At 46.3% G+C, this 27622-nt stretch overlaps 1 protein-coding gene across 1 annotated transcript, besides 2 other annotated features; it reads left to right on the forward strand.

Moving 5' to 3' along the window:
• FAM83D (family with sequence similarity 83 member D) lies at positions 2–26691 on the forward strand. The gene is made up of 4 exons (NM_030919.3): positions 2–510; positions 15544–15711; positions 21461–21585; positions 25124–26691. The coding sequence occupies exons 1-4, from the start codon at positions 28–30 to the stop codon at positions 26103–26105; spliced, it is 1758 nt and encodes a 585-aa protein (NP_112181.3). The 5' UTR covers positions 2–27; the 3' UTR covers positions 26106–26691.
• Positions 90–189: an enhancer, noted in NCBI's record as "active region_17875". NCBI's record gives its function as "activates an Ori minimal core promoter by ATAC-STARR-seq in GM12878 lymphoblastoid cells {active_cell/tissue: GM12878}" and the evidence as "EXISTENCE:reporter gene assay evidence [ECO:0000049][PMID:35858748]".
• Positions 1575–1664: an enhancer, noted in NCBI's record as "active region_17876". NCBI's record gives its function as "activates an Ori minimal core promoter by ATAC-STARR-seq in GM12878 lymphoblastoid cells {active_cell/tissue: GM12878}" and the evidence as "EXISTENCE:reporter gene assay evidence [ECO:0000049][PMID:35858748]".
• Positions 26692–27622: the final 931 nt, after the last annotated feature.

The following is a 27622-nucleotide window of genomic DNA, read 5'->3' on the forward strand; positions in this document are numbered from 1 at the left end:
CGAGGGCTGTCGAGTCCGAGCGCCGCCATGGCTCTGCTGTCCGAGGGCCTGGACGAGGTGCCCGCCGCCTGCCTGTCGCCGTGCGGGCCGCCCAACCCGACCGAGCTGTTCAGCGAGTCACGGCGCCTGGCTCTGGAGGAGCTGGTGGCGGGCGGCCCCGAAGCCTTCGCGGCCTTCCTGCGACGCGAGCGCCTGGCTCGTTTCCTGAACCCCGATGAGGTGCACGCCATTCTGCGCGCGGCGGAGAGGCCGGGAGAGGAGGGCGCGGCGGCGGCGGCGGCGGCCGAGGACTCGTTCGGCTCCTCGCACGACTGCTCTTCGGGCACCTACTTCCCCGAGCAGTCGGACCTGGAGCCACCGCTGTTGGAGCTTGGCTGGCCCGCCTTCTACCAGGGCGCCTACCGCGGCGCCACGCGTGTCGAGACGCACTTCCAGCCCCGCGGCGCTGGCGAAGGTGGCCCCTACGGCTGCAAGGACGCTCTGCGCCAGCAGCTCCGCTCGGCGCGAGAGGTGAGCGGCCCTCCAGGGCCCTGGGTCGCACGGGAGACCCCCTTCAAGAATGGGAAATTGAGGCCTGCTGGGAGTACGGGCCGGGGCCACTACCTCCTCTGCGCCCTACCGGAAGCGCGCGCGGGCTAGGTGGTCCCAGGGTCTCCGACTCACACCCCACTCTGCGTGTCTCCCCCGGATCCCCCGGGCCGCTCCTCGTGGCAGGGGATAGTGGGAAAGCCTCGGTTCCCAAGGATGCGAATTGTGCCCGGGTTCCATCTCCTAACGTTCATATCCCTGAAGGAGGGACCAGAAGTACTCTGAGTTCCAAATTTCAGTTAAAATCAAACTTGGAAAATTGCCTATTTCCCTGTCTGTCAGCCAACGCTAGATCCCACTTTCAGGAGCTTCTTAGGAGACTCATTACCAAAGAACTTACGCAGGGAAAGTTCCAGAAAGATGGTCTCCAGAGACAACTACGGGGCATTAGGAAGCAATTATTATTGCTAATTACTTTCATGCATCTTTTGCTGTAAAAAGCAGATAAACACGAGAGTGGCAAAGTGAGAGCCCTGCCGCTTTTTCTTTCTTGTCTTTTTTTTTTTTTTTTTTTTTTGAGACAGATTCTCTTTTGCCCAGGCTGGAGTGAAGTGGTGGGATCTCAGTTCACTGCAACCTCCGTCCCCCGGGTTCAAGTGACTCTCCTGCCTCAGCCTCCCAAGTAGCTGGGATTACCGGTGCCCGCCACCACGCCCGGCTAATTTTTGTATTTTTAGTAGAGACGGGGTTTCTCCATGTTGGCCAAGCTGGTCTCGAACTCCTGACCTCAGGTGATCCACCCGCCTCGGCCTCCCAAAGTGCTAGGATTACAGGCGTGAGCCACCGCACCCGGCCCCCTGCCGCTTTTTCTACTGCCAGAGACTGGAGGGGAAACTGGGGCAAGGGGTTTGTTTTCCATAGGCTGGGTCTGTGCCAGATTGCAGTGGTCTCCTAAAATGCAGATACATTTGCATTAGATCGGCTTCTGTATTCATAGTGGGTTTTGGTCCTACTGTCTGACTCTTAGTATGGCATGGTCATGGGTGCAATGGAGGTCTTGTCTGCTTGCCAGCCTCGATAAAGCTGCAGCAGGGTGCTGGGGATCAAGGAGGAAGAAGGCAGCCTGCAGGTGGGTGTGGCACATAGAGTGTCGTGGCAGACACCTTGGTCTGGAGCCATGGTCAGGTTGCTTGCTGACTGGCAGTGCCCAGCTCCCTGGCTATCTGCCTGTGCCAGGGACATGGCAGATAAAGCCCCAGCCATGTTAAGACTTGTTAGGGCTGGTACCTGAGTGTGTCTGAGTGTGGGTGAAGATACCAGTGCATTGTCAGGTTGACATGTCCAAGCCCCGACTCTCACCAATGTTCTTAATGTTCTTTCCCTGACTGGTGGGGTTTCAGTGGTAGTGGATACAGTGACCTAGTGCCTTGCCTTTGAGGGAGTGGTTGTGGGCTGCAGCTAGGCTCTTACCAGCCCTGAGGTGCTTTGGGTGGACTGAGGGTTTTTTGATGCAGCAGACATTTTCCTTGCGGGTTCAGTGAAAAGATTAAAAAGATGGAAAAGGCAGACTTGTGTAGGTATGCATCCCCAAAGCTCATGTCCAGTAGAACTTGAGCACTTGGAACCTGAAAAATGTAAAGAACTGGTCTGTATAGTGAGAGCTGTGGATTGTTCTAGTCTTTTGCCCAGCCCCAAATTTTAGTGATAGCAAAAGGGCACTGGAACTAGAGGCCAGAGGGAAACTATTAAACTCACGTGCTGGCGTGAGGAGGGGATGGAGCCAGGAGCTCAGACTCTCCCTCATCTCACGGGCATTTTGTAATACTGACATTTCCAGATAGAACCTGCTGCCCTAGTCTAGCTACCCACAGTTCCCTCCGAGATGCTGTATTTGGAACCTGGGCAGTTTTAACTGAGAAAGGTGGTACATTACCTTTAAATCCAATGAGTATTGGCTGGGCACAGTGGCTCAAGCCTGTAATCCCAGCACTTTGGGAGGCTGAGGCAGGCAGATCACGAGGTCAGGAGTTCGAGACCAGCCTGGCCAACATCGTGAAACCCCGTCTCTACTAAAAATACAAAAATTAGCTGGACGTGGTGGTGCGTGCCTGTAATCCCAGCTACTTGGGAGGCTGAGGCAGGAGAATTGCTTGAACCTGGGAGGTGGAGGTTGTAGTGAGCTGAGATCACACCACTGGACTCCAGCTCTGGGCGACAGAGCAAGACTCCCTCTCGGAAAAAAAAAAAAAAAAAAATCCAATGAGTATTTTCAGTGTGTCCGATAGATGCCAAATTATTTGCTTACTCATTGCCTGCTGTGTATCAGACACTACCATGGCTGGGGCCACAGGGGAAGGCATCATCCTTGCCAACACTTGAGAGTGGACAGTGTGCTGATGGGAAACAGTGAGGAGTTTGCTGCAGGTACTGCGGAAAGGGCTAAAGAAAGAAAGTCTCCGGAGTGGCAGTGACCTCAGAGCTGGGTGGGGCTTGCCAGACCTAGGGTATGGGGGCTGGCCCACAAGTGTTTAAGGACCTGGAATGTTTGGGGGCAGCCAAATTCCCCACAGCGGGTTAGTGGTAGGAGAGGAAGCTGGGGTAAGGGATGCTGAAATGAGTTGGGTTTGAGACAGTGCTGAATTTGAGGTCCCAAAGACAATCTCTTTTGTTTAAAAAAAAAAAAAAAAGCCAGGCCATGGTATCATGTGCCTGTAGTCCCAGCTACTCAGGAGGCTGAGGCAGGAGGATCATTTGAGCCCAGGAGTTTGAGGCTGTAGTACACTATGACTACGCTGTGAATGGCTACTGCACTCCAGCCTGGGCAACACGGGGAGACCCTGTCTCTTTAAAAAAAAAAAAAAAAAAAGTAATGCTTTCTGTTTGCCAGGCACTGTTCTAGGTGATCCCAAGGAAGGTGCGATTATCATCTTCATTTTACAGCTGATAGAACTGAGGCATAGAGAAGTTAAGTGGCCCCGAAGTCATGCAGCTAGAGAATGAAGGAGCCTGTACTCAAATTGAGGCACAGAATGTCTGAACCACTGTTAACCACCACACTCCCTGTGGAGGGTTCAGGAGCCTGTGCTCAGGTGGGGAGAGGTGACAGCAGATCTGGTGGCTAGCTAAGAGCTACTACTATTTATGGGCATGCATTGTGGACAAGGGAGTGGCTGTGTCACCTTGACCACATCCTTTGAAATCTAGTACCTGTGACAGCGAGGACCATGAAGGTGTAGGTCTCAGGCTGCTTTCAGGATGAAATGAGAAGCTGTTCTGCATCCGTGTTCTGATAGCAAAGGTACCTAATGGTGATATGATTGAGCACTTTGAATGGGTCAGTTTCTGTGCTAAACCCTTGACCTGAATTACCTCATTTAACCCTCCCAACACTGGGAGGAGGCTACAATTAAGAAAAGACCAGGCACAGAGAAGTTAAGTAACTTGCCTGAGATCACACAGTTAGCATGGGACAGAGCTGGGCTCAAGCCCAAGTCTGTCTAGTTCCAGCTCTGAAGCTCAAGTGTTTTTTTTTTGTTGTTTGTTATTATTTTTTTTAAGACAGAGTCTTGCTCTGTCACCCACGCTGGAGTGCAGTGGCATGATCTTAGCTCACTGCAACCTCCACCTCCTGGATTCAAGTGACTCTCCTGACTCAGCCTCCCGAGTAGCTGGGATTACAGGAGCACACCACCATGCCCAGCTAATTTTTTCTTTTTTTTTTTGGAGACAGAGTTGCTCTTTTGGCCCAGGCTGGAGTGCAGTGGCACAGTCTCAGCTCTCAGTAACCTCTGCCTCCCAGGTTCAAGCGATTCTCCTACCTCAGCCTCCCAAGTAGCTGGGATTACAGGCACCCTCCACTAATTTTTGTATTTTTAGTAGAGATGGGGTTTCGCCATGTTGGCCAGGCTGGTCTTGATCTCCTGACCTCGCGATCTGCCTGCCTCAGCCTCCCAAAATGCTGGGATTACAGGCGTGAGCCACTGCGCCCGGCCAATTTTTGTGTTTTTAGTAGAGATGGGTTTCGCCATGTTGCCCAGGCTGGTGTTGAACTCCTGGGCTCAAGTGATTCACCTGCCTTGGCCTCCCAAAGTGCTGGGATTACAGGCGTGAGCCGCTGTGCCCGGCCACTGAAGCCCACACTCCTAATCCCTGCTGCATACAGCCTCCCTGCCATGAGGAAGGATTGGAGCTTTGGTAGTTTTCAACAGGCTGAAGGTTTGTAACAGTTGAAGATTGGGACTTTTTAATTTCCATGTTGCGTATTCTATAAACAGGAAAATGACAATGACTAGACCTGTCCTTTTCAGGAAGAAAACGAGGTGGTCAGTTTTTAGAGTAGGAGGCATTAAGGCTGGCAGAGAACCTCCTCAACCCATCAAGTGGGGAAGGTGGTTCATGATGCCAGGAGAACATAGGTCTCTGAGTTTAGGTTTTGTAAACTAGAGTGTGTTTTCCTCTCCCTGGGAAAGATAGAGCCAGATAGATGTTTCTGGTACCTGGAGCAGAGGGATCTGTGAGAATCTTTTGGTGGGTGAATGAAGGAACTTTGAATGCCACATGAAGGGTCCCACTTAACCCCAGAGGTTGGGGCCAGGCTGCAGTAGAGCACGGTCGAACCTCAGTGTTCGCTCCATGCAGCTTTATCTGCCTTCACTGAGGTGGTCTGAGGACCACCCTGCATCTTCAGGAATGTCTCTGGAAGGAGCCAGGATACGAGGCTCCTTGACCAGAGTATAGGCACAGGAAGCCAGGGTTACTTGGTAAATGGTAGGGCCTAATCCTGGCTTTGCAGCCTGAAGCGCTGGTTCTGGGATAGGTTTTATCCAGCAGCTCTCTGACCACACAGAATCACTCAGTGTGTCTGATACATAAAAGATGCTCAGTAAATACTGTAGGGGCCTATTATGTGCACCTTTGCTCATTCAGCTACATGCTTTGAGGAGAAATAAAGGGCAGGGGGAAGGGAGCGGTAGATAGGAAGAAAAGTAGTTCAGGTGATTCTGTCTGCCTTTCCACTCAGCAAGTATTTGTCCCTGGGTGGCTGTGCCTGGGGTTTGTGAATCTGCCAGCCCCTTCCTTGACTCTTGTTTCTATATACCTTTCAAAGTGTGGGCATTCTGCCACACTGAATGAGGTACAGTGTTTAAAAACAAATGGTTTGGCCATGCGCGGTGGCTCATGCCTGTAATCCCAGTGTTTTGGGAGGTCAAGGCTGGAGGATTCCTTGAGGCCAGGAGTTTGAGACCAGCCTGGGCAACATAGCGAGATCCCATCTCTACAAAAAGTTAAAAAATTAGCCGGGTGTGGTGGCATGTGCCTGTAGTTCCAGCTACTCAGCAGGCTGAGGCAGGAGGATTACTTGAGCCCAGGAGTTGGAGGCTGTAGTAAGCTATGATCATGCCAGTGCACTCCAGCTTGGGTGACAGGGCAAGACCCTGTTTCTAAAAAATAAATAAAAACACAATTACGTATAGCATGGCTTGAATACAAGCTGGCTGCTTACCAGGTGCTCAGGCGAGCTTCACCAAAATTGGAGGAAATACTGTTTTGAACCTTTTGAGAACCCATATGTTTGTTTCCTAAGCAAGTTTTTGGATAATCTTGAATTATACAGGATATTTTCCCTACATACTTGCTGTAGATCCACCCCTCCACCACTGTATCTGTTGATGACGCATTCAGCTTTTTGCCTCTGTTGCTGTGTGAACTGGGATTTGGCTGGGCTGTGGCCGCCTGCCTGGAAGGGCTACATAGCCTCATTTTGGCAATGTGCTTATGAATTGGCTGTCCGGCTATTCCTGGTTTGTTGAATGAGAGTTCAGAGGCAAAGCTGGTACCACCACGAGGTTCCAATTCCTCAGAGTCACGTTTCTTACCAGTGCCTATTCTCTTTTGTTCCAAAGAGGCCACTTTTGCTATGACCTCACCCTCGGGCATCCTCTTGATAACCTGAGCGTTAGTAGTGGGGATCATTGCGTTCCCAGAGAGCCCTGCCAGGAGGAGTAGCAGCTTAGGAATCTGTTGGGGGCCCCTGGCATTTACTTGGATGTATCTGAATGAAGGCTTTCCTGTTCTTGCACAACTTTCCTCTGCATTACAGTAGAGCCTGTGTGGTGTGATCAGTTTCTGTTCCAAATGCTCATGTCAGCCCCAAGCAGGGCTTCTCACCCTCAGCACTGTTGACCTTTTGGGTTGGATAATTCTTTGTCCTGAGGGGCTGTCTTGTACATTGTAGGACGTTGAGTAGCATCCATGGCCCCCATTCACTCGATGCCAATAGCATCCCTCACACCAGGTAGTCATGATATTCAGTGTCTCCAGAGTGGGAAATAGTGAGTTACTGATGAATGGGCACAGAGTTTCTGTTTGGGGCTATGAAAAAGTTTTAGAAACAGATGGTAGTGATGGTTGTGAATGTAATTATTGCCACTGAATTGTACACTTAAAAATTATTAAGATGGCAAACTTATCTATTTTACCACAATAAAAAAATGTCTCCAGACATTGCTAAATGCCCTGTGGGGGCAAAATCGCCCTCCAGTTGTGAACCACTGGCCTAGAAGTTCTCACTAGTGCATCATTATGGGACATTACCCACTGGACTGAAGTGTTGCTACTATTTATCCCTTCCTTTTGATTTCATGTGTCAGGTTAAGGATTTTAGAATTTAGCCATTTCTCTTTAAAAATATTGTGGTAAAAAATACGTAGCAAAATTTACCATTTTAACCATTTGTAAGTGTACAGTTCAGTGGCATTAAATACATTCACACTGTTGTGCAGCTGTCACTAGCCGAATCTCCAGAGCTGTTTCAGCTTCCCAAAGTGAACCTCTGTACCCATTAAACACTAGCTCTTCATACCCTCCTTTCCTGGCCCCGGCAACCACCATTCTACTTTCTGTCTGCCATTTCTTTCTTTCTTTTTTTTTTTTTGAGAGTCTCGCTCTGTCGCCAGGCTGGAGTGCAGTGGCACCATCTCAGCTCACTGCAACTTCTGCCTCCCGGGTTCAAGCGATTCCCCTGCCTCAGCCTCCCAAGTAGCTGGGACTACAGGTGCCCGCTACCACGCCCGGCTAATTTTTTTGTATTTTAGTAGAAACAGGGTTTCACCATGTCGGCCAGCATGGTCTCAAGCTCCTGACGTCGTGATCTGCCCTCCTCGGCCTCCCAAAGTGCTGAGATTACAGGCGTGAGCTACCATGCCTGGCCTCTGTCTGCCATTTCTTTATTCTTTTCCCTTAGCGTCTAGCAGACAGTAATGAAGCTGCAGAATTCTTCTCTGACTTCTTTATGGATAGAAGGTATGTTACTTCAGGAAAAAAGCAAGCAAAACCCAAAAATGTAGTGGATATATTGGCTTAAAAAAATCTTGAACCCGGTCTCTACTAAAAATACAAAATTAGCTGGTTGTGGTGGTACATGCCTGTAATCCTGGCTACTTGGGAGGCCGAGGCAGGAGAATAGCTTGAACCTGGGAGGTGGAGGTTGTGATGAGCCAAGATCGTGCCATTGCACTCCGGCCTGGGCAACAAGAGTGAAACTCCGTCTCAAAAAAAAAAAAAAAAAAAAATTCTTGATGCAAATGATATAACCTCTGGAAGGGAATTTGGCAATATCTAGCAAAATTTCAGTTATATTTACCCATTGATCTACCACTTCCACTTCTCTGTATCTTGATATATTGGCAAAAATATGAATAGTTGTAGACAATAGGCCATGCGTTGCAACACTAATTATAATAGCAAAACACAGGAAAGAGTTCAGGTGTTCGTCAGTAGAGGATGAGTTCATCATTGTGAATGAACCGATTCGTCTCTGCAGTGGAACATCCTGTAGCTCTAAGAAGGAATGAGGACTAGCTCTGATATGCGGTATCTAGAATGGTACTGACCAGTGTAGTAGCCATATGAGGCTATTAAAATTTATATGGATTAAAATTAAATAAAGATTCAGTTCTGTCATCTTGGAAGGTTCTATTGGGCCACGCTAGTCTAGAACAATGTGTAGTATTCCATGCTACCTTTTACCTATAGGGGGATATAAGCACATATACATAGTTATATACATAATACACATGTTTATATAAAACAAATATGTTTATATACACCTGTGTATACTTGTTTATATTGAAAAAATGGAAGAATATACAAAAAACTATTGGAAATATTATCTCAATGGGGAGGAGGGACAAGGATGGAAACTAAGTATCTTTGAAAGTACCTTGTTTTGTAAATTGGATTTTGGAACTAGGCAAATGTTTTACATACTTATAAAATAAAAACAATTCAAAATGATAAGCCCTCCTCCCCCTACCCCCTAACTTCTTGGTGCTTTTCCCTCCCCTTTGAAAAGCCCACCTGCTTGTGTACTTCATGCTGGAATAGTACAGAGTACTGAATAGTGGTCAGTCCCTCCAGAGATCAGTGAAAACTTTGCTCCTGCCACCCTCTGGTGGCCCTGCCAGCACTTTCATCTAATACTTAAATTGTTTTATTTGGTTGCTTGTTTGTTTGTTTGAGACAAGTTCTCATTCTGTTGCCCAGGCTAGAGTGCAGTGGTGCAATCATGACTCACTGCAGCCTCGACCTCCCAGGCTCAAGTAATCCTCCTGCCTCAGACTCCCGAGTAACTGGGACTTAAAGGCACATGCCACCACGCCCAGATAATTAAAAAAATTTTTTCTGGAGACAGGATGTCAACTGTGTTGCCCAGAGTGGTCTCAAACTCCTGGCCTCAAGTGATCCTCCCACCTTAGCCTCCTAAAGTATTGGGATTACAGATGTGAGCCACCGTGCCGGGCCTAAATTGTTAATTTGATAATAGCCTCTGAAACAGAGGGAGAACAGTGCACACAAGCAAGTTTAGGTTTCGCTGTGGGAATTTACATTCTTTTTTGTTTTTAAACCCCAAAGATGTCAAGATAGTTACTTAAAGGTTTTTGACAAAATCCCAAGGAGATTATTTCTGTTCTATTAAAACATGTAATACATGGAGAGAAAATATATCTTTTGCTTTTTTAGCAAGAGGGTCCTGAGAGAGTTAGGAGAGGAAGTGAAGGGTCAATGGAGGCCATGTGGTCAGCTGGGAGAATGCAGCAGCCAGGATGTTATTGACCACAGCACAGGCTGACATTGAGTGGGTGCAGATCTTTGGTGGAATTCCAAGCATGTTGCACACCTGACCTCACTTTATGACTCTGGGAGGGAAGGGAGGGAAACTGAGGTGCAGTGAGAAGGGGTGATCGGTACGAACTTCCTCCTTCACACAGAGGAAGAAGAGCTAGAATGAGAACTGGAATGACTGGCCCTGAGGGGCCTGTTGGGGCTGCACATGTGCCTGGTCAGAGCCTAGACCTGCCCATTGAGTGTGTATGAATCACTGACTTCGCAGAGCTGGAAGGGTTCCTTGTTTCAAGGACACCGAGACTCAGATGGAATGGCTTGTCCAGGGATAGTGACGGAATCGGGACTAAGAATATGAGTAGCTGCCATTTAAGGGCTTTCCATATGCCAGGAACTGCCAGCAAACACTATGAGATAGGTACTGTCAATCATCCGTGGTGAGCTTGAGCCCATGCACTTCATGGGCTACGCCACTGATCCTTTAGTGTTTGTTCTAAGCTTCCAGTCATGTGAAAAACTGCCCATTAAACTTGGTTGGAATGATATAAAATACTGAGTATAGTACTTTTTTTAGATGGCTCCGGAGTCACAGAGACCTGGGTTGAAATTCCAGCCCTTGTACTTGTTTAAGTTTGTCACCTTGAACAAGCTACCTAACCTCTCCAAGCTTTGGCTTTCTCATCTATAAATTGGGGATGACAGGTAATGGGGTTTTGAAATTTCTAGATAGCACTTTTGAGCTTTTGTGCAAGAAGGCAAGCAGAAAAGAGTTCAGTTCTATGTGGCAAGTAACATAAACAGGGTCTGTGACCTTCCCAGAGACCAAGAAGGCCATCATGACGTCTGCTGTTCAACTACATAGGTTCCCAAGTCCCTTGGTACAAATCAGGAGGGGACAGGTAGAAGGACTGAGAGAGGTAGGCTTGTGATTTGTTACCTGAGATGATGATGTGAGAGTGGACACACATGCAGCTGCTCCAGATATGGCTGGAGAAGTGCAGGAACAGTGGGGTCCTGGTCAGCAGGCCGGCCATTATGCCCCTGACCAGCTGGATGCGTCCTCCTCACGTCTCCTGTTGTAACTGACTTGCACTGAGTTGCAAATTGCAAATGGGTGTTGACCCTGGAAGGGACTCTTGAAAGTCACCACTCTCACGACTTTCTAGTCCTTAGAGAGTGGGTGGGCTCCATGCAGCACAGACTGGGAGAGTGCCATGACTGTGGGCACTTGATGTGCAAGGGCTGCCTGCCTTCCAGACATGCCATTGTCCTTCGCACATTATTGCCTCCAGGAGTGGGAGCAGTGGCCAAATACACATCAGGTGTATTTCTGGACCCACAGGCTGCAGCAAGAGCACCGGATACCTAGGAGTTGCATCCTGGCTTGGAAAGCAGGACTCGGCCGGTTAGTGGATGAGTCCAGGTCATTGCTCAGCTCAGTGAAGAGAGTGTCCCTTCAGTCTAGCCCCAGGTCTACTTCAGCTATGCAGGGATTGGTTGCATGAGGGCTGGGACACAGGAATGGGGGATGGGGATGGGGATTTGAAGGAAGACTTCCCTACTGATTGCTTCTACAGTAGGACTATGGACTTTTCCTCTGTAAAAGACAAGTACTTTTGGCTGGGCATGGTGGCTCATGCCTGTAATCTCTGCACTTTGGGAGGCCAAGGTGGGTGGATCACTTAAGCTCAGAAGTTGGAGACCATCCTGGGCAACATGGTGGGATTCTGTGTCTACAAAAATTAGCCAGGTGTGGTGGCGTGTGCCTGTAGTCCCAGCTACTTGGAAGGCTGAGGTGGGAGGATTGCTTGTGCTTCAGAGGCGGAGGTTGCAGTGAGCCGAGATCACACCACTGCACTCCAGCCTGGGCGACAGGGTGAAACTGCATCTCCAGAAACAAAAAAATAGACGAATATTTTTAAGAGTCCTGCTTTAGTAAGAAAGGAGTGGATGCTGGGTGTAGGGGAAGTCAGGGGAAGAAAAAAACCTCCATCAACCCTACGCACCCTGATGGTGTTAAGGACTAGTGTTCAAATCCAACGCACAGGAAAGGGTGAGGCTTTAAAACCAAACAATGGAACAAATAGCAAATTAGGTATTTACTCACCATATAACAAAGGTGTTGCACAATTGTTTTGTTAAGTGGTGAATCAAAATTCAGCTTGGCCGTGCCTTGTGCTGTGGGCCCCCAGGCCCATGCCCCTGCCTCCAGCAGGTCTCTAATCCAGCAGCTGGGCTGGGTTTTTCTGATCTCTGTTCCAGTAGCACTGAGGGAACGTGTCCTTTGGCCCGTCACACTCTGTTACCCCTGGCTTGTCTCCTGTCTCATTAGACTGCGTTCTTGAGGACAGGGATTGACACTAGATCCTCAGTGCTCAACACCTGCCTGCCTCGATTGGGTCCACAATGAAGATTTGAAAGAAGAGTGGGAAATCAGAGAGGCAAGCAGGTGTGTGCATTTTCCTCTTTAGCTTTCTCCTGTGAGCTCTACTCTCATTTGTACACCTGCATATTCCAAACCTCTTTTTGAAGGTTTTACTGCCACCTCAAAATCCGTTTCGAAGCTCACCCCTCACTCTTGCTTCTTGTCTTGTGTTTCCTGTTTCCTTGTATCTGAATATCCCTCTCCCTGTCATCCTCAGCCCATGTCGCCCACTGCTCGGCTCTCCCATGATCTCCTTCCCTCTTCTGCAACCCTCATTGCTTCTGCCGTGCTACTGATTTGTCTTCATCTGGTCTCTAGTCCTCCTAAACATTTATTGAAGTTGCTTAACCTAAAGAATATCCACGTGACTGCTGTGTTGCAGGTCCTGTGTTGGAGGAGGTGGGCCCAGATCTCTGACCTATACCAATCTCTTCTGGCATCAGTTTCTTCCATCCTGTTGGATTCTTCACTTCGAACTCATTACTCTTATACAGGCAATGTGGGGAAGATTGAAACTGATTCCTTGGTTGGCATTCAGGGCCTTCTGTGATCTTGCTCATTCATCCGTCTTTTCCAGTCATGTCCCGTGGCTCCCTTTCATGCATGCTGTACGTTCCAGCCAGACTGGTACATACCCCGTCATGCCCTACCTCTTCCTCTGTTATCATGTGGCTTCCTGCGGGAATGCCTTCTCCTCCCTTCACTTCTCCCATGCCCTTGTCCAAATTTTGTCCTTGTGCTTCAGCTCAAATGCCATCTCCTCCAGGAAGCCTTCCCTGCTCTTATCTGGTAAGCATTTGAGTACCTATAGTGCCCATAGTCCACCACTGGAGGAGACACCTTGTTTTTGTTTTGTTTTGTTTTGTTTTGTTTTTTGAGATGGAGTCTTGCTCTGTTGCCCAGGCTGGAGTGCAGTGGTGCGATCTCGGTTCACTGCAACCTTCACCTCCCAGGGTCAAGTGATTCTTGTACCTCAGCCTTCCTAGTAGCTGGGATGACAGGTGCATGCCACCATGTTCATCTAATTTTTTGTATTTTTAGTAGAGATGGGGTTTTACCGTGTTGGCCGGGCTGCTCTCAAACTCCTGACCTCAGGTAATCCACCCACCTCGGCCTCCCAAAGCACTGGGATTACAGGCATGAGCCATCATGCCCGGCCCCCTTAGTTTAATTGCTTAGGCTGTATATATCATTTTGCCTCTCTGCATCCTGTGTCCTCTCCTTGAGGTAAGTTGGGTCTATGTCAAATTCCTCATAGCCATCTTTCTGCCTAGTGCAGTGTGCAGCCCACAGCGTGCTCTGAGGAGGTGCTGGCTGCATAATAGCACCTGTTTCCTGCCTTGCCCTCCCTGTGCTAAGCCCTTTCCATGCTTTGTTTCACTTAATCCTCACAGCAGCCCTTTGACCCAGATGCTATTAATTTTGTCTTCCTGAGGAGGAAACTGAGGCTCAGAGAGATTAAGCCACTTGCCCAGGGTCACACAGCTGGTAGGTGGTAGAGCTGGGTTCTATGCCCAGAACTTTTGCCTTTAATTCCTGTTGTATGACCCGAATGAGTGGGATGAATAGAACTGTCAAAATAGGATGTGTAAAGCCAGTGGAGGATGTAAACTTCAGAGGATGCCACAAATTCAGAAAGAACGCTTCTCATTTTTTAAATCACTGTGTTCAGTGGGTTTCAGCCATGCCCTTTACCAAGAATAGCCCACAGCTTAGACCATCATTAAAAGGGGTGGGGTGGGAAAGGCAGCAGGAGAGTAACTGGTCTTCTCAACCCCCTCACAGCAATGACTTCCCAGGAACTGGTGTTTCAGGGTCTCACATCCTAGTAGACCAGGCCCTGGAGTGTTGGAGAAAGACAGCCAAATTGCCTTTTTGCCTCTTCATTCCTTCTTTAATCCCCCAAATCCTTAAGGAGTCATGACTGTCATATACTGTCCTAAGTCCTCTGGGACCACAGAAATGACTCAATCCCATTCAAGAGCCTTTGCTGCAGGAGAAGGAGTGAAACCCATAAATGAATAATCCTAACTTTCAGAAAAAGAGTTAATGTGATTCTGAGAGACAGGCTTTTACTGTGGAAATGGGGAGGAAGGAGAAACCCTTATATCTCCAGACTACAGAAGAGCCCCCAAGCCTCGGCTTCCTTAGTTAACACCCCCAACTTCTGACTCAGTTTGTCAGGACCTGTTTCTAAGCCTGGAGGTTTGGACACCCCCACTGCCCTGCCAGGAGTTTGCTGAGGACCTTGGTTTTAAGCCTGCAAAAGGTGTGATTAGAGGCATTGTGGCAGGAGCAGCCTGTCTTTAAAAGAGCGAGGAAAGCTAGGCGGTGTCTCCCTGTGTTGAACTGTCTGGACGGCTCCAGCTCTGGACTGGTAAAGTGAATAAACGAGCAGATACTAAGGGATCCTTTGTACCTTGCACTTTATGTAACATAGTCATTTAGTTCTCGATACAACCCTATTTTGCAGCTAAGGAAACAGACATTTGAAACAGCTGTAATTTGCCCAGGAATGCATGGCTAAAAGGTAGCTCTTAATTGTAGTCTGATGCTAGGTGTGGAAAATCACTTGGGAGGCATGAATGGAGCCATGTTGTTGGGGAGAAGAAAGGCCTGTTCTGAGCTTAAGGGCAGAATCCTTAGGAAATATTTCCCTGTTCTTTGCTGTGGGCTTGCACTATGGACGGATACCAAAGAACTGCAGAGAGAACCTTTTACTGAGGAGAGGCCAGTGCAGTGGAAGTCATTTGGTTAGAACCTGCCCAACAGACAGCTGATCAGGCCTGGCTGGTAGAAAGAACAGAATGTTAACAAATATGGTATGCAGTGTTAGGGAGGCAGAAGAAGGGAGAATCCATGGGCCTGCTTCGATTGCTTTCGAGTCATGAGTTGGTGGTGAATGGGACAGGCCTTAAAAAAGTCAGAGATTATGATTCAAAACCAGACAATAATTTAAAAAATAGATTTCGAGAATGCTACCCTCCAGAAGGGCCCTCAGAGAGAATCTGAGGTTTTATTTACTTGTTTAACGGACAGCAAACTGAAGCCTGGTGGGGAAAGCAACAAGCCAAAGATGACAGTGTGTTACCCACAGAACCAGACAGCTTGCTGATCTGAATAAGCCTGTAAGACAGGAGTTTAGTGGAGGAATAGAAGGTGAATGGAGCAGGTTCATAAGAGAGCAAGGCAGTGGATTGATCTGTATTTTTGAGAAACCTCCCAGCATGGAGTTGGGAGTGTTAGCTAGGCCAAGTCAAGATTTCTAGGACACGGGGCCCAAGTGTCTTTGGAGATGCAAAAGAGTCCATGGTGAGGGGGGCACCAACACTGCAGAAGGGGGAGGGAAGGATAACTGTTGGATAGGGATCATTTCCCAGTTCTGAGTGGAGTCCAGAGTCCAGAGAGCGTGCTGTAAGGTGGTGTCCTATAAGCTTATCATGTGCTCTTCCCTGTTTCACCTGTAGGTGATTGCAGTGGTCATGGACGTGTTCACAGACATCGACATCTTCAGAGACCTGCAAGAAATATGCAGGAAACAGGGAGTTGCTGTGTATATCCTTCTGGACCAGGCTCTCCTCTCTCAATTTCTGGATATGTGCATGGATCTGAAAGTTCATCCTGAACAGGAAAAGGTTTGTGGTACACTATATCCAGTTTCACCATAGTCAACAAATATGACCAAGCATCCATTATCTACAAGCTGGCTGGTGGCGGTATCCCTGTTTACAAGGAAGGGACTGAGGCTGTGAGCAAAGTCATTTGCCTGGTCTTACAGAAAACAAACAGTACCTGTGACCTGGCAATTCTCCTAGGTGTCTACCCAAGAGAAATGAAAATATGGGCCCCCACAAAAATTTATGTGTGAGTTTTATAGAAGCATTATTCATAAAGCCAAAGAGTGGAAACAATCCAATGCCAATCAACTGATAAGTGGATAAATGATATGTTGTCTATTCATACAATAGCATACTATTCACCTATAAAAAGGAATGAAGTGCTGATACATGCTACAGCATGGATGAACCTGCAAACGTGCTAAGTGAAGGAAACCGGTCACAAAAGACCACATATGATATGATTCCATTAAGTCAGAATAGGGAAATCTATAGAGACATTGATTAGTGGTTGCCTAGGGCTGGGGAGTTGGGGGAAGGACGGGATTATTGCTAAAGGGTACTTTATTTTAGCACTTTCTTTTTAAACTGATGAGAATGTCCTAAAATTGACTAACGGTGATGATGGTTGCATATATCTGTGGATATACTAAAAACTACAGAATTTGTGTTAATTGTATGATCTGTGAATTAGATCTCAGTTAAGCTCTTTAAAAGAAATGTTAGGATTCAAGACCTTGGCCTCTCCCCTGTACTGTCCTGCCTCTTAATAGAGCCTGGACCAGCTCCCTTGTTGAAGGCCTGAAGGCCACCCTGGAAGTTGCTGCTTTTGACAGTAGCTCCAGGAGGCTGCCCTTTTAATCACAGCAACCAGTATTTTTTGAGCCCCCACTCTGTCTTTGGCACTGCTCCATGCTTTTTTTTTTTTTTTCCTGAGATAGAGTCTCACTCTGTTGCCCAGGCTGGAGTACAGTGGCCCAATCTAGGCTCACTGCAACATCCCTCTCCCAGGTTCAAGAGATTATCCTGCCTCAGCCTCCCAGTTAGCTGGGATTACAGGTGCGTACCACCACACCTGGCTAATTTTTGTATTTTTAGTACAGATGGGGTTTTGCCATGTTGTCCAGGCTGGTCTTGAACTCCTACCTCAGATGATCTGCCTGCCTCGGCCTCCCAAAGTGCTGGGATTACAGGCATGAGGCCCCATGCCCAGCCTGCTCTGTGCTTTTAACAAATGTTATGTAACTGAATCCTCAAAGCAGCCCCTATCAGGTAAGTGGCACCTGTGTTTTAGACCAGGAAATAGTGACACAGAGAATCCAAGTGTCCACCACTTCAAAGTAGTGGGCCTAGGGTCTGCCTCCTTGTATGTCTGCCTCCAACCCCAGTGTCTGTAATCACTATTACATGCTGCTGCTGTTCATTTCTCATTATTGTAAAATTAGATTTTATGTCTATTTCTCTGATTCTGAAAATGACCTAAGTGTTTCAGTGGAAGCCTATACAACATAGCTAGCTTGGTCACTTTCATGGAAAGAAGAAAGAAAAATTGTCATATTTATTACAGAATTTGTTTTTTTGTTGTTGTTGTGTTTTTTTGAGATGGAATTTTGCTCTTGTTGCCCAGGCTGGAGTGCAGTGGCACGATCTCAGCTCACTGCAACTTCTGCCTCCCGGGTTCAAGCGATTCTTCTGCCTCAGCCTCCTGAGTAGCTGGGATTACAGGTGCCCACCACCACACCCGACTAATTTTTTGTATTTTTAATAGAGACAGGGTTTCACCATGTTGGTCAGGCTGGTCTCAAACTCCTGACCTCAACTGATCCACCCGCCTCGGCCTCCCAAATTGCTGGGATTACAGGCATAAGCCACCATATCCGGCCCAGAATTTGTTTTTTAAAAATTAAGCAACCCATGGCTTCTCAGCCTTTTGGCTAAGATCAAGTGTAAAAATTAAGCATCTTAACCTGTGAGCTTCAGAACTTTATTTGTTCATCACCTGTATGAGTATCTATTATGCACTGGGTACTAGATATAAAGCAGTCAGCAAAACGAATTTAGTCTTTGGTACTATAAGTTACTGCCTAAGAGACTCTAACTTACCACCTTATTATTACCAAGCAATTTGGTTTACAGAATTCAGATTCTCCCACAGAGTTCTTGTTGGTTGCCTCATGATAAAGACAGGATTGGGGTTTCTAGACCAATTGAGATGAGACAGCCATGTAACCCAACAGGTGGTTAGAAAATGAGTCCAGGTGGACCCAAGGAAGATACACTTTGGCATGGAAAAGAGCATTATCAGCTAGCCAGGTAAAGAAATGGAAGGTATCAGTGTTTAATTTCAAGGTACTCTTTCTATAATTAAGGCTATGCATTAGCAGAGAAATCACAGAATTGTTCTGGCCACAACTTTGGTCAAGTGATTTTCTCTATTTATCTACTAGACAGAAATCTATGAGCAGGCACCGGTTCAGTTGCCTACTGTTGGTTGTTGCCTTCATAGGTGTCCAGATCCTCTGCAGGGGGGTTTAAGAAGGCCTATTTCTGGCCGGGCGCGGTGGCTTACGCCTGTAATCCCAGCACTTTGGGAGGCCGAGGCGGGTGGATCACGAGGTCAGGAGATCGAGACCACCCTGGCTAACACGGTGAAACCGCGTCTCTACTAAAAATATAAAAAATTAGCCAGGCCTGGTGGCACACGCCTGTAGTCCCAGCTACTTGGGAGGCTGAGGAAGGAGAATCGCTTGAACCCGGGAGGCAGAGGTTGCAGTGAGCCGAGATCGCGCCACTGCACTCCAGCCTGGGCAACAGAGAGAGACTCTGTCTCAAAAAAAAAAAAAAAGGCCTATTTCTCTGGCCTCCCCAGTTTTTGTAGTTTTACCTCCTTCCTGGGGAAGCACTGTCTTCCCTGGTTGCTTGTGTCTCCTGTTCCTCTCTGTGCTAGTGAATTTGTGCCCCTTGCTGTATGGGGGCTGATGTCCCCATGCTCTGCCTCTGTAGCTGGTTCAGAATGTTGGGTTGTGCTGTCTGTAGGAACTTGGTCACACATTGATGTGCAGGCGCTCACAAGTGCTTTGGCCACGATCACAGAGGCATATGCAACATTCAGATGTGTGTCAAAGGGAAAGATACAGAAAACCACACCTAATCTGCCCATAATGGTATTCTTATGCTTATTATATGTTGATCCTTTAAGACTTGGCTCAGGGGTCATCACCTCCTCCAGGAAGCTCTCCTCCCACCAAGTCCAGGTGTACCTCTATGACATTCCCTAGTCGTTTTTCTTTTTTTAATTTTTATTTTGAAATAATTTAAGATTTATAAAGAAGTTACAAAAATAATATAAGAAATTCCTGAATACTCTTCACCCAAGTTCTCCACATGTTAACATCTTACAAACCTCAGTACAAATAACAAAATCAGGAAATAAACTTGATATCAATACTATCTAATTTACAGACTTATACATTTCCCGGTCGTTCCACTAATGCCCTTTTTTATGGTCCAGGATCCAATCCAGTCCAGGATCACACCTTACATTTAGTTGTCAAGTCTCCTTCATGTGATTTAATCTGGAACAGTTTCTCCATCTTTCTTTGTCTTTTAGGGTCTTGACCTGCCCCCACCCCCCCCCCACCACCCCACCCCCCGTTTTTTTTTTTAAGAGATAAGGTCTCGCTATGTTGCCTAGGCTGGTCTTGAACTCCTGGACTCAATTGATCCTCTTGCATCAACCAGCCTCCCAAGTAGCTGGAACGACAGACATTTGGCACTGCGCCCGGCTGGATCTTGACACCTTTAAAGAATACTAGCTAGCTGGGTGCAGTGGCTCACGCCTGTAATCCCAGCACTTTGGGAGGTTGAGGTGGGCAGATCACCTGAGGTCAGGAGTTTGAGACCAGCTTGGCCAATATGGCGAAACCCCGTCTCTACTAAAAATACAAAACAATTAACCAGGCATGATGGCAGGTGCCTGTAGTCTTAGCTACTCGGGAGGCTGAGGCAGGAGAATTGCTTGAACCTGGGAGATGGAGGTTGCAGTGAGCCGAGATTGTGCTACTGCACTCCAGAGTGAGACTCCACCTCAAAAAAAAAAAAAAAAAAAAAAACAATTTTTTGTAGAATTTGGGTTTGTCTGATGTTTTATCAAAGTTAAATTCAGATTACGCATTTGGTAAGAAGACCACAGAAGTAGCATTATGTCTTGCCATAGTTTTGTGTTTTATTTTTAGCTTATTTTGAATATTGATAGATTAACAGAAGTTGCAAAGATTGTACAGAAAAGTTTCATGTACCCTTCACCCAGTTTCCCCAAATGTTACATCTTATGTAACTTATGGTACAATGTCAAAACCTGGAAATTGACATTGTATACAGCTTTGTGCCATGTTATCGTCATGCATGCATATCCAGACAGAAGTTTCCATCACCACAAAGATCTCCCTCCTCCTGCTCCTTTATATAGTCACATCACTCCCCTCACTTTAACCCCTAGCAACCACTAATTTGTTCTCTATTTCTATAATTTTGTCGTTTACAGTCTATTTTGTAAATGGAATTATACAGTATGTGACCTTTCAAGATTTGCTTTTTTTCTCTCATCACAGTGCTTTTGAAATCCATCCAAGATGTGCACGTATCAACAGTTTGTTCCTTTTCATTGCTGAGTATTGTATGGTATCTTATACCATTCAGCCACTGAAGGACATTTGGATATTTCCAGTTTTTGTCTGTTATGAATAAAGTTGCTGTGAACATGTGTAGAGGTTTTGTGTGGATATAGGTTTTCATTTCTCTGGATGCTGTTATGTGTTACTGTAGTTTCTAAATCAATTAGTTTTCTCTCTCTTATTCTAGTCCTTGAAGGTAAGGAGCATGCCTTACATCTCTGTTGTCTCACGGCTTGGCACATAGTAGGGGCTCTCTATGTTTATGGAATCAATGAGTCAAACAAAAATCTTACACGTTTAATTTAAATGTGTAAGATTTCTAACGATATAGAGCCACTGGTCTGCTCCAGAGAATGCAGATTGTTGTAGTATTTTGTATGCCATTGTTTATACATTTATGTGTGTCATTTTACAGGAATAATTATGCATACATGTGCAGTATATTGCCCCAGCATACCACTACCAGTGTACGTTTTTGGTAATTATGTATTTGTAGGAGATGTGACATTGCTTGTTAAGCCACATGTGATATGAGTGTTTCTGCCTCAGCAGGCCTGTACTAGAGAAGGCCTGTCCTGTGTTCCTATTCTCCATACCCATTATGGTGTTGAGGGTGAGTGAGGATGGACTGTTACTCTAATGTGATGCCATTAAACAAACAAGTTGGAGGAAGATCAGCTTACCTTCTTTCAGACTTTGCTAAAATGTTCTTTATTACTAGCATGTTTTCTTTGATGATTTTATCCCACACATTTTGCTTCAGAATCATTTCTTGGATTCTGTTGTTTAGTATCCCAAAAAGGTTGAGTGTTCTTTTAGAACACATACACGCATGAACTAAGGGTCTCAAAAGTAAATATAAGAAAAGAACAGATGAGAAGATGGACCAAATGTAGAAGTAACATCACTTGAGGCTTGAGAACTGTCTGGCTAGTGTACCATGTATACTGTCACTAAATGGTGACCCTAAGCCACGCATATGCCAATAATTATATCTGGGAATTGTAAACTAAGGCTTTTTGTCCTAACCATTTGCTCAGCAGATGAGTATTGCTGAATTGTTCATTTATATTTCTCCCACTCCCTGCCAACAGTTAATGACAGTTCGGACTATCACAGGAAATATCTACTATGCAAGGTCAGGAACTAAGATTATTGGGAAGGTTCACGAAAAGTTCACGTTGATTGATGGCATCCGCGTGGCAACAGGCTCCTACAGGTAAGTCTCTAACCCGTCCAAGGCTTATTAATCTAAACTCTTCAGAAGAAGCATGTCATGTAAAGGTAAAAGCCTTTTCCTCTCAATGGGAGCCTGTATGGCCATGCATTCTGATATGCGTGCATCTGTGTATAGCAGCTGGTTATCAAAGCCTCCTGTTAGAGGCAGTTTGGGTGGGGGTCACTTCCCCTGTCCTGTAGTCCATAGATTAAAATGCAGAAGTTGAACTTGTATTGAGACAACACAGTCAGCAAGTCCTAGATTTCAAGCCTTGGCCCAGGTCTGCAGGGGACGAACTGGGGGTTAACAGCAACACACAGTCTGGAATCCTGGTTCCTTAGGGATCTGGACCCAGCTTGCCCTGCTCACTTGAAGGTAGGGGCAGTTGCAGGCATCTCCATTAGTGTTGAAGGCAGAGCCAGAGCTGTCAGCTTTAGACTCAAATCCTCCACGTTGCTTCAAGCCTTGTAATTTAGAGCTTTAGTCTAGAAAATACTGATTATGTTTCTGACCCACCTTTGAAGTGTCACATTGGCAATGGCATCTTAAGGTAGAGAGCAGGAAGGTTGAAGAGAGGGTGGGGATAATGAGCGGTTTACATGAATCTCTAGAATTTGTGCCATTTGTACATATGTGGCTCCAATGGTTGTATGTTCTGCCGCCTCTGCGGTAGATTGTCTGATGGTTTGCATGAGGTGTGTCTGTAGAATTTTAAAAAGAAAACCCCATTTTTGAAGAAACACACAACCCTGAGTGATAATTACGTGTCAGCCCTGGGTAAAGGTAGAAATGTGAAGGCTTGTGGAAAATGAGGCAGTAAGATCAAGAAAATCTTGACACCTTTCTTTTTCAACAGTACCCTCATTGCTCAGAACAAAATTTGAACTTTCTTCACCAAAGAGGCTGTGGGAAAAAACAAATTGAACTCTTTTTCTTGGAATTTCCTTTTGTAAGAAGTTTATTAAAAAAATTTGTTTTTAACCTAAGTAGGATTTATCTATATTAACCAAACTTAGCTACAAATGGACTTTTGCTGTTCTAAAATATAAAAACTACCCTCTCCAAATGAAATTGATGACGATGATAGCTTCCATTTGTTGAGGAGGTTTTATAATCTTGGTGTTGGATAGGTGCTTTATTTACATTATCTCATTGAAGGCTTTCTTTTTTTTTTTTTTCGTGATGGAGTCTTGCTCTGTTGCTCAGGCTGGAGTGCAGTGGCGCCATCTTAGCTCATTTCAACTTCTGCCTCTCAGATTCAAGCGATTCCTGTGCCTCAGCCTCCCGAGTAGCTGGGACTACAGGCATGCCACCATGACTGGCTAATTTTTGTATTTTTAGTAGAGATGGTGTTTCGCCACGTTGGCCAGGATGGTCTCAGACTCCTGACCTCAGGTGATCCGCTGGCCTCGGCCTACCAAAGTGCTGGGGTTACAGGTGTGAGCCACTGCGCCCGGCCCAGCCTCATTGAAGGCTTTCAAAAGAATCTTCCTTCTCAGGCTTTGAAGGCAGTTTTCAGGGGGACTTTGCATTAGCCATATCTTGGTTACAGGAGACAGAGTTGACTGTGTTCTATGATCTCTGTTTGAAACCTACTTCTGGTACAAATACCACCATTAGTGGGGTGATGGCAAGTGTCAGCTAACTCTCAAACGTACTGACTCGAAGAACCCGGAAGGAAGCATAGAAAGGTACAGTTGGTTTTCAGTTCATCTTGACGTAGGAGCCACACGCTGATCAGAACACTATATCCTGGTTCTGATGTTTTCGAGTTGACTTTTGTTCTTAGGCAGGCTCTCCCTTTGAAGTCAACGATCCTGGCTTTGTTTATTTTTTGTTTTTGAGACAAAGAGTCTTGCCCAGGCCGGAATGCAGTGGACGATCTCGGCTCACTGCCAAGTTCCGCCTCCTGCGTTTACGTCATTCTCCTGCCTCAGCCTCCCGAGTAGCTGGGACTACAGGCGCCCGCCACCACGCCCAGCTAACTTTTTTTTGTATTTTTAGTAGAGATGGGGTTTCACTATGTTAGCCGGGATGGTCTCAATCTCCTGACCTTGTGATCCGGCCACCTTGGCCTCCCAAAGTGCTGGGATGATAGGCATGAGCCACCGTGCCCAGCCAGATCCTGGCTTTCTTATATGGCCTTTAGTAGCTGTCTCCCAAAGGGTGAAACTCTTTCACTCAGAATTACTATCAATCCCTTCTGTCAGAATCCATTTGATAAAGAAAAAAGAAATCTCTGAAAACTTACTTGGCTCTGGTGGGATCACATGCCCACCCTGAATGAATCCCTGCATCCAAGGGAATAGGATACTCTGGCCAGTGTGGACCACATGCCTGCCCCTATTGTGGTTGGAGAGAGTATGATAATGAAAGCTTTCTGGGGTACAGGTGGGTGTGAGTTCTGCTAGCAGAGGAGGGAGGCGGGGAAGGGACACCGTACAGGCAAGGGCACATGGCCACTAATCAGCTCTAAAATGTTTTGAGCCATGGTGTTTTGTGAAAATGGCAGCACAGCCCCATGACTGTGGGTCCTCCACTGTTAGTGAGGAAGACTACTTCAGCAGCCACAAGGACAAGCTTGAGGGCAGGAAGGCCACTGATGTTGCCACTCAAACAGTAGCAAGGAGCAGGGCATTAGCAATTCATAGGGCCTAGGGTCTGATCTGGAGTCCAGCAGTAGCTCCCCTCTGTGATAATCCCTTTATCTGGTTTCCTTACCTTTAAGATGGGGGTGCTGGCCTAAATAGTTTTCTTACCTTTAAAATGGGGATGCTGGCCTAAATATTTAGAAGCCCTATTTTTTATTTTTAATTAATTTTTTGAGATGGAGTCTCGCCCAGTCATGGAATCTCGCCCAGTCATGGAATGTGCAGTGGTGTGACCTCAGCTTACCGCAACCTCTGCCTCCGGGGTTCAAACAATCCTCCCACCTCAGCCTCCCGAGTAGCTAGGATTACAGTCATGCACCACCACGCCTGGCTAATTTTTTATGTGTTTTTACTGGAGACAGGGTTTCACCATGTTGGCCAGGTTGGTCTTGAACTCCTGACCTCAAAGGATCTGCCCACTTCATCCTCTCAAAGTGCTGGGATTACAGTCATGAGCCACCGCGCCTGGCCCCCTTTCCAGTTTTTAAAAACTCTGAGGCAAGGACCAGGTGAGGTGGCTCACACCTGTAATCCTAGCACTTTGGAAGGATGAGGTGGGAGGACTGCCTGAGCCGAGGAGTTCAAGACCAGCCTGAGCAACATAGCAAGACCCCGTCTCAAAACAAACAAACAAACAAAAAAACCCTCTGAGGCTGAGCATTTAGTGTGTTTGTTAAACAGTTGGCCTTTTTACTTTTATGGTAACACACATAAATGTTATATATGTGTTAAGGCTAGTTAAATACATGCAAATGGTAGGTATGATATCACCAAATTTGTGACCCTTATGTGGTAAGATACCTGTACTATATTATTCAGATGGACAGTGAGTAAAACAAAATTGCTCATCCTTACCAGCTGCTGTTTGTTTCTTTTTAATCTTTAAGTTTTACATGGACGGATGGCAAATTAAACAGCAGTAACTTGGTAATTCTGTCTGGCCAAGTGGTTGAACACTTTGATCTGGAGTTCCGAATCCTGTATGCCCAGTCCAAGCCCATCAGCCCCAAACTCCTGTCTCACTTCCAGAGCAGCAACAAGTTTGATCACCTCACCAACCGAAAACCACAGTCCAAGGAGCTCACCCTGGGCAACCTGCTGCGGATGCGGCTGGCTAGGCTGTCAAGTACTCCCAGGAAGGCGGACCTGGACCCAGAGATGCCCGCAGAGGGCAAGGCAGAGCGCAAGCCCCATGACTGTGAGTCCTCTACTGTTAGTGAGGAAGACTACTTCAGCAGCCACAGGGACGAGCTCCAGAGCAGAAAGGCCATTGACGCTGCCACTCAAACAGAGCCAGGAGAGGAGATGCCAGGGCTGAGTGTGAGTGAGGTGGGAACACAAACCAGCATCACCACAGCATGTGCTGGTACCCAGACTGCAGTCATCACCAGGATAGCAAGCTCTCAAACCACGATTTGGTCCAGATCGACCACTACTCAGACTGACATGGATGAGAACATTCTCTTTCCTCGAGGAACTCAATCTACAGAAGGGTCACCAGTCTCAAAAATGTCTGTATCGAGATCTTCCAGTTTGAAGTCTTCCTCCTCTGTGTCTTCCCAAGGCTCTGTGGCAAGCTCCACTGGTTCTCCCGCTTCCATCAGAACCACTGACTTCCACAATCCTGGCTATCCCAAGTACCTGGGCACCCCCCACCTGGAACTGTACTTGAGTGACTCACTTAGAAACTTGAACAAAGAGCGGCAATTCCACTTCGCTGGTATCAGGTCCCGGCTCAACCACATGCTGGCTATGCTGTCAAGGAGAACACTCTTTACTGAAAACCACCTTGGCCTTCATTCTGGCAATTTCAGCAGAGTTAATTTGCTTGCTGTTAGAGATGTAGCACTTTATCCTTCCTATCAGTAACTGCTCCGTGTTCAGACTCCTGGTTTCTTCCAGGCTTACAGTGGACATCATCAGCTTCCTGCTTTAAAAAATATCTTATGTCCCTAATTGCCTTTCTTTTACCTGACTTTGTCACCTTTGTTGTCTTTGAATTCTTTAGGCTGCATATTATTTTACATGCTTTGTTTTGTCATGTATATACCAGGTATTGGTTTTATGGTTTAAACACTATGGATACAGGGGTTTGTTTTGCACAATTTTAATAGTCATGCACTACATAATGATGTTTTGGTCAATGACAGACCACGTATATGTTGGCAGTCTCATAAGATTATAATACTGTATTTTTACTATACCTTTTCTGTGTTTAGATACAAATACCATTATGTTACAGTTGCCTACAGTATTCAGTGCAGTAACATGATGTACAGGTTTGTAGCCTGTTTTGCATTTTTCTTAGGTTGTATGCTCTTCTGTTTTAAAGGTTTGAATCACCAGCATTTTTGTGATCAAAATCCTATTTAGAAAAAATAAAACTACTTTCTGTTTATCTCTTTAGAATATCTGTGTTCTTAGCATTAAATAAATATAAACTTGTGCTTCTGTACTTTTTCCCCCCCTCTGACACTTTTCTCTTTAAATCTGGGAGTATGTCACAAATTAATGCACCTAATAGATATAGGTATATAGATATCTATATCTGAAGGTTTTTTAAATAGTGTCAGGGTGAGGAAGAAGTAGATGATCCAAACTATAGAAGAGAAAATAGATCCACTTAACCTTCCTCAGCATCATGAATATTGATGTTACTCTATAGTTTAAGTGAGGAAACTGGCCAGAAATAGCAGGCCTTTGCACATGCTCTGCCTTTTCTCTTTTCGAAGAAAAAGCCTGAGCTATTTCAGTAGGTCCTTGGTACTCTGGTACTCTGCTTGTCTACCAAAGGAGGCGTTAGTGTATGTTCCTATATTCATTCCCAATATTAACTCTGGTGGCCCCATGGGCCTCATTTCATCAGCTGGGTGTATTGACAGTGATTTAGCCATCTAATATCCCAGAGTAGGGGCAAAAGAGGACACTGACAATTATCCCAGTTTCCTGGTCCAGTGGCAGGCAGTGTAATGGTTTCTACATCCTTCTAATCAGGATTGGTATGGCTGTGGAATCCTGTTTTTGTCTCATTCTCATGGACAGACAAAAGGGAAGAGAGTTAAATGATGCCTTCCTCCCTCTCCTGACTTAGCTACAGCAAAAAAGATCTATAACAGGGGAAGGTGTCTGCCACATAAAATGCTGATGCACTTGTATCATGAGTGTCCCTACACTCACGCGTGTGCCAGGACTTCCTTATGATGGTCAGGCTATTTGCTGGGTTAGTGCTGTAATCTGTGGCTATAAAGAAAAGGAAAGGAAGGAAATTGATCCATGTCTGCTTAGAAACAACTCTGAGCTAAGCCTCGAGTAAACATATTGTTATTTGAAATCATCTTACAGACTTAAGTCACTTCATATATGCCATCTTTGATCTTTGCAGCAAT

Source organism: Homo sapiens, chromosome 20, assembly GCF_000001405.40.
Source record: "Homo sapiens chromosome 20, GRCh38.p14 Primary Assembly".
Taxonomy (NCBI): Eukaryota; Metazoa; Chordata; class Mammalia; order Primates; family Hominidae; genus Homo; species Homo sapiens.